At 46.3% G+C, this 10,773-nt stretch overlaps 1 protein-coding gene across 2 annotated transcripts in view, besides 2 other annotated features; it reads left to right on the top strand.

Moving 5' to 3' along the window:
- Positions 41–360: a silencer, noted in NCBI's record as "silent region_1345". NCBI's record gives its function as "represses an Ori minimal core promoter by ATAC-STARR-seq in GM12878 lymphoblastoid cells {active_cell/tissue: GM12878}" and the evidence as "EXISTENCE:reporter gene assay evidence [ECO:0000049][PMID:35858748]".
- GATAD2B (GATA zinc finger domain containing 2B) overlaps positions 144–10,773 on the top strand; it is a 118,248-nt gene continuing 107,618 nt past the window's right edge. The window contains exon 1 of one of the 2 annotated variants that reach the window (NM_020699.4): positions 144–383. Coding sequence is in view for 1 of the 2 variants with exons in the window: in XM_047426115.1 (XP_047282071.1) it covers positions 6,663–6,664 (2 nt within the window). In the remaining variant the exon portion in view is untranslated. Of the gene's footprint in view, positions 384–6,291; positions 6,665–10,773 lie in introns of those variants that run through there. The other variant, XM_047426115.1, reaches the window with a different exon arrangement.
- Positions 8,109–8,403: a silencer, noted in NCBI's record as "tiled region #2699; K562 Repressive non-DNase unmatched - State 17:Gen3'". NCBI's record gives its function as "represses a minimal TATA promoter and a strong SV40 promoter by Sharpr-MPRA in K562 cells {active_cell/tissue: K562}" and the evidence as "EXISTENCE:reporter gene assay evidence [ECO:0000049][PMID:27701403]".

The following is a 10,773-nucleotide window of genomic DNA, read 5'->3' as shown; positions in this document are numbered from 1 at the left end:
AGGGTGGGGTGAAGTCCCGGCATCTAGTCTTCTACTGGCATGGCCGAGAAGATGAGGGCGGGGTGGCCGGCTTAGGTCGCCCAATGGGCGTCGTGGCGTGTGGGTAAGGCGGAGCCGAGGCGCTTGGCAGCTGCCCAATCAGCGTCCTTGTTTGTGTGGTGCCGCCGCCGCCGGTGCAGCCGTCGCCGCCGCCGCTGCCCCCGTCTGTACCGCAGTGTCTGCTCCGCCCGCCCGCCCCGGTCCGGCCCGCCCCCCTCCCCTACCCCCGTCCCTAGTCCCGTCAGCAGGGTCTGGATCCCCTGTGCCGTCGCCTCTTCCTTTTTCGACGCCTCCGCCGCCGCCTGAGGAGGCGAGCTAGCCGGGAGTTACACCGCCACCGCCAGGTGAGGAGCTTTGGCCTAGGCCAGCCTGGCCGCCCGCCCGCCCGGGGGCGGTGAGGAGCGAGGAAGGGAAGGAGGCTGGGAGGAGGCAGTGGTGGCGGAGGTGGGGGAAGGGAAAGGTGGAGGGGCGGGGGGAGGGGAAGCGCCCGCGAGCCGACGCCCGCCCGCGCGCCCCCGCCTTGCGTCCCCCTCCCCCCACCCCGGCACGGCGCGCCCCCGCCTCGCGCTCCTTCTTCACCTCATCCTCTCCCCCCTTGGCGCGCGCGACCCGGTCTTTCACTTCGGCCTCGCGCGCCCCCAGCTCGTGTCCCTTCATTTCGTCTCCTTGTACTCTTTCTCCCCTCCCTCACGCCCCGTTTCCCCCGCCATCCCCGCTTTCACTCCCTGCCTCATGCCCGCCATGCTCCCCTCCTTTCCTCTCTAGCGCGCCCCCCCCTTTTTTTTTTTAACTCTCTCCACCCCCAGTGGTGCCCTCAGGGTGCGGGGGCCGCTCCCTGCTCAGTCTTGTGTTTGCGGGCGGATGGGACGAATGGGGAATCTAAGGGTAAAGGAAGCACCAGATAATTATCTTTATTTAGGGAAAGGGATCAGGAGCGCATAACCTTACCCCTTTATTTCGTCGTCCACCGTTCGCTCGCCCTCCCGTAGGGGAAGAGAATTGTCTCAGGCTATGTGGGCACTTAGCTTCTACAGCGACTGGGCTTGTGGGACACACTGGATCTGTCTTCCAGTTCAGTTCCTGAGGGTCGGTGGAACTTACCCTTCCCTAACCACACCGGGACTTAGAGTACTTTTGGCCTCCCTGCTCTCAATTACATTGAGGAGCGAGCCACTCATGCGAGTGCAGAGGTTCAGGTGCCATTCGCGCGCCCGGTACAGCTTTCCCGTTTCATAAAGGTATGGTAGCCTCTTTGGATTCTTCCCCAGCATCAACTTCCAAACACAAGATGTTAGCTCATAGGGCTGGCAGTGAGGTGGAGATGGAGGCTTGGTGGTGGGTGGCATGTGGATGCTAACTGAGCTAGCTAGCAACCTTTTCTCTGTTGTCCCCTGGAAAATCAGGTAGCCTCCTGAGAACCAGTTTTCTCATTTCTGATAAATGCTTATTTGGGGGGCGTGTGTGTGTGCGTGTGTGTGTGTGTAAGAGAGAGAGAGAGATGGGGGGATACTTAATACATTTCAGCAGAGGCGAAGGATACTTAATATATTTCAGCAAAGGGCAAGAGCAGTGTTTTCAGGCCAGACTGCAAAAGAGGGATTTGGATTTGTAGCTGATGGAATTAAAACAGGTTTAACAGATCTGTGTTGGAGAAGAGCTGATGCTTTTGTAGTTTTTAGGACATTTTTTCTAAAAATTTATATTTTGAGTAGAAAAGCATGCATGTGGTTGTACAAAGTGAAAAGTAAGCTTCCTTCCCATCTCTGTCCTCCAGCCATCTAGTCTCCTTCCCCTCCTAGCACAGATGACTTTGATGTTTTCTGGCAGCAGCATGGTGCCTATATGTTGTTGGTGATTATCCTGTTTGGGAGTTTAGTGCTAACTTTATTGCTTTTCATTTGGTATGCTGACCTGAACTCTTCCTTGCAGTCTGATAACTTGGATTCTTATTTTGGTGCTGGAGCAGCCTTTCAAGTATTGTCCTAGAGTAGTATTTCTGTCAGTACTTAGTTGGGAAGGAGGCCACTTCTGGAGGTGCTATGGAGGAGTTCAGTATATTTTGAGGGAAGGCCCACACTTGTTGGATCGTGCTGCTTTTTTTGTGACGGATATCTAGTCCCTGGCCATTTGGGAATGGACTGGGTCAAGGATCGGATTCATATAAGCAGATAGCTTATATGAATAACTAGTTGATGGTAAGGCTGTCTTCACTTTTTAGGGGAATAGAGTTTTTTTAGTCCAGTGGCAGTGATAGTCATCATGGAACAAGGTAGAAAAGTACTAATCAGCAGGAATCAGAAGGCTGAATCTATAGGCTGAGTGACCCAGTTTGAGTAGAGGTGAGGCTTACAGACTTTTGTCCTGCCTATTATTCCTTACTTGAGAACACTCTCCATGAGGTGAGAGTGATTTGTAGTTGACAGCAGCATCCATCTTTATGACACTGTGGTTTGCCTTCCCTGACCGTATGTGATGTGTGTTAACTTCCTGTTTAGAGGCAGTCCCAGTAGGGTCTGAATATAGGCTGCACTCAAATACTTTTCTAGGAACAGTGTTAACCAGGTTCCCTGATCAGCCCTTCAAATCTAAATTCTGGCAGTAACTTTTACTGCTGTGCTTAGCATAGGGCCACAGGGTGGTGGCAGAGGGAAGTGTGAGGAATTTGTTCTGAGCCTCACAACCTTAAAGTACTTTCAAAAGCTTGTATGCTGTCCCCCATTTTGGGGTTTTGCCCCCTTCTCCCCTTTTTTTGCCAGACGGGCAAGGCTGGACCTCCAGGTTGAATTTTGGGGACCATTGTGTCAGTGAAGGTATCCTAATCATGTGTTGAGACCTCTGAATTCATCTCACCTTTAAGCAGTGAGTCTTGTGTGTTGCATGTAAAGCATTCCTCCTGTTTCAATTTACTGATTCTTCTTCCTTTCCTCCCCCACCCACCAAGCTGGAGGTGCATGTGGAGGAAAACAGCAGCTGTGCTGTCCTGATTTCTAGACTCTGGAGCATATTCCATGTTAGCCACCCCATTGGGAGTCATGCTGACAAGCAGCCCCTCTGCGCTTAACTTAGAAGGCTCATGTTGCTTGGCTCATTGAGAAAAGCCAACCAGCTTTGGTTGATTAAAACAACTGCTAGAGAAATCGTAAGATTTGAGCCATAACTGGGACTGAGGGACTTTCTTTTCCAGACCTTTGCAGTACTTAAAGCCCTGCATTATTACATATCAAGGCACAATAGCCAGACATTTTCTGAGGTAGTTTGGAGGGAAAGAAAAAGTAAAGACACACACCCAGATTGACTGTAAATCTAGTCCTGGCATAAAGCTGTCCACCTCTTGCTTGGGGAAAAAATCCAGTCTATCAGACAATACCACATAGAGTTGCAGTTCTCCTGCTTTTGGCTAAGCCTAGGAAAAGATATATAAGGAAGTTCAGTTTATGTTACAATGACTGGATTTTGTGGTGTATCTTCTATTAGCCATATTATTTGGTTTATCCTCAGTAGTCTCTGTGAAGCTTTTTCTGTAGGTCCTGTTTGGGGATTTTGGTGGCTCCAGAATCCTTGAAGCAGCAACCTCCTTTCTTTGTGTAGCAGTGATGAAAGCTTCTGAAGAATAGGTCTGATTTGAAACAGACCCCTCCTCATGTTCCATCTTTTACCTTCTCCCTTGTGGATATATGAAATATTCCTGTATAGCTTGAATTCATCCAGTAAGAAGGGAGTGTCCCAGGGTCATTAGGGCTTTTAACCTGTCTGAGGTATTTAGATGGTGGCTTGGTAATGTTTGCTGTCTCTCACAAAATCCCCCTTACCTTTGCCATTTACCTAGGTTGCCATCAGCTGGCAAGAAACTATCAACAGTTTTGGGTTATAGTACAAAAAGCAGCAGATTACTAAGAACACATCATTCGTTACTTTTGAGATATGAAGTGGTCAGATCCAGACCTCAAAGAATCATAGTAACTGCAGAAGCATCTTTGACAATGTGTGAACTTGTTATTAATAATAACTAGTAAACTGCTAAAGAAATTAAGGGAAATTATAGCAATTCCATATTCCTGAGCCATTCTCTTACTGTTTTTCACACCTGGCTAGTTCCATTTTATTTTATTTTATTTTATATTTTTTGAGATGGAGTTTTGCTCTTGTTGCCCAGGCTGGAGTGCAGTGGTGTGATCTCAGCTCAGTGCAACCTCTGCCTCCTGGGTTCAAGTGATTCTCCTGCCTCAACCTCCCAAGTAGCTGGGATTACAGTCACCTGTCACCATGCCTGGCTAATTTTTGTATTTTTAGTAGAGACGGTTTCACCATGTTGGCCAGGCTGGTCTCGAACTCCTGACCTCAGGTGATCTGCCCACCTCAGCCTCCCAAAGTGCTGGGATTACAGGCATGGAGCCATTGTGCCCGGCCTTAGTATCCATTTAAAAAAATAATTCAGGTTACTGTTACCTAAAGCTGAGAGTCGTACTTTAAATCTTTTGATCAAAGCTTTCTTCGGCTTGTCTCATTTCAAGGGAGGGTGGAATTTATAATCTTTAAAAATACATGCTGGAATGTTAGTAGGATTTAGATTAGACACCAGGATTAATAAATTCTCATTATAATTGTGAAGGATTGCAAATGTTAACTGAAAGACTTGTGCATCTCTTGCCCAGAGGATTTTTATAATGTTAGCATTTTTAGAGTATTTAAACTCAAACTTGCTGAAAGAGAGGGGATGAACTAATATGTGGCAGATTGGACTAGTGGAACACAGGTTGTGGAGAGCCTTGAAGTCCTGGGTTGAATTCTAGCTTTGTGATTTATTAGCTAACTGATTTTGGGTAATGCTACTAATTTTTGAATTCTCATTTCTTGCAGACAGAGTAATGCCAGTCCTTGCAATAGCCTTTAAGGCTTTACATGGTTTGCCCTCCCCAACCTCTTCCATTTTTGATCGGCTGTCATCTTCCCTCTTGCTCTCTCCATTCCAGCCACACTGACTTGCTCCTTGAATGCTGATCAGTCACACTCTATCTTAGAACCTTGGCAGGTTCCTAAGACCAAGTGATTCCTTCTAGTGGGAAAACAGCTAGGTTTCCCCACAGAGAATGGCTGATTGCCTCACCTCCTTAACGTCTTTGCTTAAATGTCACCTTTTTAATGAAGTCTTATCCTTCCTTTCTTTAAAATTGTATTGTCAGTTCCCATCCCTCATGCTTATCCTTGCCTGCTCTATTTTCTTTTTCATAGGACTTAACACTTTTATAATATATTTATTTGTTACATTTATTGCCTATTGGTTCTCTTTCTATGATGTAGGTCTTAGAAGGCATGGATTTGTTTTGGTAATTTGTTTAGTGCCTAGTACAGTGCCTGGCATGTAGTTAATAATAAATGTTTGTTGGCCGGGGTTGGTGGCTCATGCCTGTAATCCCAGCACTTTGGGAGGCTGAGGCGGGCGGATCACATGAGGTCAGGAGTTCGAGACCAGCCTAGCCAACATGGTGAAACCCCGTGTCTACTAAAAATACAAAAATTAGCTGGGCGTGGCAGTGGGCACCTGTAATCCCAGCTACTTGAGAGGCCGAGGCAGGAGAATAGCTTGAACCTGGGAGGTGGAGGTTGCAGTGAGTCGAGATTGCACCATTGCACTCCAGCCTGGGTGATAGCGTGAGACTCAGTTTCAAAAAAAAAAAAAGATATGTGGGGCATGGTGGCTCACACCTGAAATCCCAGCACTTTGGGAGGCCGAGGCGGGTGTATCATGAGGTCAGGAGTTCAAGACCAGCCTGGCCGAGATGGTGAAACCCCATCTCTACTAAAAATACAAAAATTAGCCAGACATGGTGGCAGTTGCCTGTAATCCCAGCTACTCGGGAGGCTGAGGCAGAGAATTGCTTGAACCCAGGAGGTGGAGGTTGCAGTGAGCTGAGATCGTGCCATTGCACTCCAGCCTGGGTGACAGCGTGTGACTCAGTTTCAAAAAAAAATAGGCCGGGTGCGGGGGCTCACACCTGTATTCCTAGTACTTTGGGAGGCCGAGGGGGGTAGATCACGAGGTCAGGAGTTCAAGACCCGCCTGGCCAAAATGGTGAAACCCCATCTCTACTAATAATACAAAAATTAGCCAGACATGGTGGTGGGCGCCTGTAATCCCAGCTACTCGGGGGGCTGAGGCAGAGAATAGCTTGAACCCGGGAGGCAGAGGTTGCAGTGAGCCGAGATTGTGCCACTGTGCTCTAGCCTGGTCAACAGAGTGAGACTCTCTCTCAAAAATAAATAAATAAACAAATAAAAGTTTGTTGATCCAATAGGAATAAAAATAACCTGTCATACTAATCTCATGTTTGTATGTAACAAAAGTATGAAATACAAGCATAAAATGTTTTGTGAACTTTAAAGCATAATGCAAATAATGATGAAATTATTGCCTTCCCGTTAAAATGGTAAAATACACTTGATTATTGAAAAAAACTTCATATATATTCAATATATTATCATTTCTCTCCTAAACTCCAGCCCTTTGTTTCCGGTTGTCTACTGTGAGCTAGACGTATCTATACCTTTGTATCAAGTTGGTACTCAAACTCAACATTTCCAACATCATTTCTTCCCTGTGATTCATTGAGTCATCTAAACCAGAAATGTGAGCATCATTGTCACTTCTGTCTTACCTATTACTTTCTAAATATTTCTGAATCTAGCTTCTTCTGTGTCTCCATTGCTGTTCTCATTCAACAGCTCTTATTTTGGGATATTGCCTTGATCGCTTACACATCTGTTTATAGTCTTACTCTCTTTTTCTTTTTTTTTTTTTTTTCTTGAGGTGGAGTCTCACTCTGTCACTGGAGTGCAGTGGTGCAATCTTAGCTTACTGCAACCTCCACCTCCTGGGTTCAAGTGATTGTTCTGCTTCAGCCTCCTGAGTAGCTGGGATTACAGGTGTCTGCCACTACACCCAGATAATTTTTGTATTTTTAGTGGAGACGAGGTTTCACCATGTTGCCCCAGGCTGGTCTCAAACTCCTGACCTCAAGTGATCCGCCCACCTGGGCCTCCCAAAGTACTGGGATTACAGGCGTGAGCCACCGCACCCGGCTGTCTTATTCTCTTGTAAACTCTCTATCATCGTGCCTTCAAAATAGTCTAACACTTACTGATTATTCTACTTTCCTCATCTTAAAAGTATTTAGTAGTTTCCAGTTATTAAAAGATTAAAATGTAAACTTTGAGTGGTATTCAAGGCCCTTTATGTTGTTGGTGTTTGCCTTCCTATCCAGCCCTACTTCTGTACCTTATAGTTAATGTGTGAGCAAATACAGTGGTTTTTCTTTTCTTTTTTTTTTTTTTTTTTTTATATAGACAAGTTCTGGCTCTGTTGCCCAGGCTCCATGGAGCACAGTGGCACGATCTCGGCTCACTGCAACCTCCACCTCCTGAGTTCAAGTGATCCTCTTACCTCAGCCTCCTCAGTAGCTGGGTCTATAGGCCTGTGCCACTTTGCCCAGCTAATTTTTGAAATACAGTTCTTTTTAATTACAGGTAGCTTCTGAATCTCATAAAGAATGCCACTTCTTCTGGGAAACCTTCCCTGACTTGCCCAAAGAGAGTTAGATACATTTTCTTCTTTGCCCTCATAATTTTTATTAAGTTTATTTTTATTTATTTATTTTTTGGGATAGAGTCTCGCTCTGTCACCCAGGCTGGAGTGCAATGGTGCAGTCTTGGCTCACTGCAACCTCCGCCTCCCAGGTTCAAGTGATTCTCCTGCCGCAGCCTCCTGAGTAGCTGGGACTACAAGCATGCCACCGCGCCCAGCTAATTTTTGTATTTTTAGTAGAAACGGGGTTTCACCACGTTGGCCAGGCTGGTCTTGATCTCTTGACCTTGTGATCCGCCTGACTCGGCCTCCCAAAGTCCTAGGATTACAGGCGTGAGCCACCGCCTCCCGGGTTCAAGTGATCCTCCCGCCTCAGCTTCCTGAGTAGCTGGGATTATAGGCACATGCCACCACACCTGGCTAGTTTTTGTGTTTTTAGCAGAGTCAGAGTTTTGCCATGTTGGCCAGGCTGGTCTCAGACTCCTGGCCTCAGCTATCCATCTGCTTTGGCCTCCCAAAGTGTTGGGATTACAGGCGTGAGCCACTGCTCCTGGCCTTTTTTTTTTCTTTTGAAACACAGCCTTGCTCTGTTGCCCAGATTGGAATGCAATGGCACAGTCATAGTTTAGTGTAACCTTGAACTCCTGAGCTCAAGCAGTCCTGCCTCAGCCTCCTGAGTTGTTGAGACCACAGGTACACACCACCAAGCCTAATTTTTAAATTTTTTGTAGAGATGGGGTCTCCCTGTGTTGCCCAGGCAGGTCTTGAACTCCTGGCCTCAAGTAGTCCTCCTGCCTTGGCCTCCTAAGGTGTTGGGATTACAGGTGTGAACCACTACACCCAGCCTTGCTGTGTCTTTTTACTATTGTATTTCCATTGCCTAGCATGGTGCCTGTCACCTAAAAAATATTTTAAAATATTTGCTGAATAAATACTCCTATGGGTTTAGAAAATGCAGCATAAATTTAGAAATGCCCCTTCTGTTATGTTCTGGGAACAGAACAAGGGTTGGAGCCTTGGTTCTGCCATTTACCATCTGTGTGACCTTGGTTGAGTCACTTGAAGTCTCTGAGCCTTAGTTTCCTCAGCTTAGAAATGAGAATCAGTAACTGCTTTATCTATTTCGCTAGGTTTCTTTGTCAGTCAAATAAGATAATGCATGTAAAGGTTACTTTATAAACTGTAAAGCACTGTATTATTTTTAATCATTATGTGTTTACACAAGTTGAGCTTTGCTCACAACTCTTTTTTTTTTTTTTTTTTTTTTTTTGAGAGTCTGGGGGCTGGAGTGCAATGGCATGATCTCGGCTCACTGCAACCTCCGCCTCCCGGGTTCAAACGATTCTCCTGTGTCAGCCTCCCCAGTAGCTGGGATTACAGGCGCCTGCCACCATGCCCAGCTAATTTTTGTATTTTTAGTAGACATGGGGTTTCACTGTGTTGGCCAGGCTGGTCTCGAACTCCTGACCTTGTGATCCGCCTGCCTTGGCCTCCCAGAGTGATGGGATTACAGGCGTGAGCCACTGTGCTCGGCCCCTTGTAACTCTTGACTAAATTTTTTCTTCTTTTTTTTTTTTTTTGACAGAGTCTTGCTCTGTCATCCAGGCTGGAGTGCAGTGGCACGATCTCGGCTCACTGCAAGCTCTGCCTCCCGGGTTCACGCCATTCTCCTGCCTCAGCCTCCCGAGTGGCTGAGACTACAGGTGCCCGCCACCATGCCTGGCTAATTTTTTTTGTATTTTTAATAGAGACAGGGTTTTACCGTGTTAGCCAGGATGGTCTCGATCTCCTGACCTCGTGATCTGCCTGCCTTGGCCTCCCAAAGTGCTGAGATTACAGGTGTGAGCCACAGCACCCAGCTTAGGCCAGATATTTTTTAGAAACATCAGTGGTATGAGGGCTGCCATTTTTCCTCCATGAATTCGAAGGCAAATATTGCAGTTCAACCAGCTTAGCCTTCACCTTCAGTGCATTCCCAGGAGGATAGTTGTAACTGAGCTGGTGCCCCTGCCTTTCATCTAACAGGCTAGAAACAGGAGAGTAAGGTTTCAATTTTGTTAATGAGCAGAAACCCTTGCTTTCTGTAAAGATGGCAGTATCACACTAAGAAAGCTGTAAAACTCACCATTGTTTCTCTTCTGTGAGGCATGCAGACAGGCCTGGGGATCAGAGGAGAAAAGGAACAATACCTTTGATTATTTTTTTTCCAGTCCTTTAAAAGTTTATATGTAGGTCTTGAAATTAAATCAAAACTTTAAGAAATTTGTCCTGGCTGGGTGTGGTGGCTCACACCTGTAATCCCAGCACTTTGGGAGGCTGAGGCGGGTGGATCGCCTGAGGTCAGCAGTTCCAGACCAGCCTGGCCAGCGTGGTGAAACCCTGTCTCTACTAAAAATACAATTTTTTTTAGAGACGGAGTCTCACTCTTGTTGCCCAGGCTGGAGTGCAGTATCGTGATCTTGGCTCACTGCAACCTCTACCTCCCGGGTTCAAGCAATTCTCCTGCCTCAGTCTCCCGTATAGCTGGGAGGTGCCCTCCACCACGCCTGGCTAATTTTTGTATTTTTAGTAGAGACAGGGTTTCACCATGTTGGCCAGGCTGGTCTTGAACTCCTGACCTCAGGTGATCCGCCTGCCTCGACCTCCCAAAGTGCTGGGATTAGAGGTGTGAGCCACTGTGCCCAGCCTGTCCTGTCTTATAAAGGCGTAAAGGTTATCTGAATGATGTTCACTCCTAGATTCCAAACTTTTTATCTAGCAGTGTGAAATTTTAATCTACCAGTAAAGAAATTGAAAAAATTTGCTCAATAGGGTAACATTTTTTAAGGAGGGGTGGTTTTCCAATCACTCTTTAACATTTACATGGCTAGATTGATGTGTTGCCATCAAAAGGATTGAAACAGTTGGTCACATGTATTGCTACTGCCGTGGACAGGTTGGCCAGAAGACCTTTGAAGTATTGCACCGTTAGGTTCTGTGAAATTTGGTGTGAATAGCATGACATTCTTTCTGTGCACTACAGTTTGGCCTTTAATAAGTGTCCATGCATAAATTTATGTGTTACTGTGTCATTCTCTTATTTTATAATTCAGATAGTAATTCTCAGTTTCTCACCTGAGTGTATAGAGAATTTGAAAGTTTTGCTTATTTATTTA

Source organism: Homo sapiens, chromosome 1 (assembly GCF_000001405.40).
Source record: "Homo sapiens chromosome 1, GRCh38.p14 Primary Assembly".
NCBI lineage: Eukaryota > Metazoa > Chordata > Mammalia > Primates > Hominidae > Homo > Homo sapiens.
Note: the sequence above shows the minus strand (reverse complement) of the source record. Positions and strands in the feature narration are given on the sequence as shown.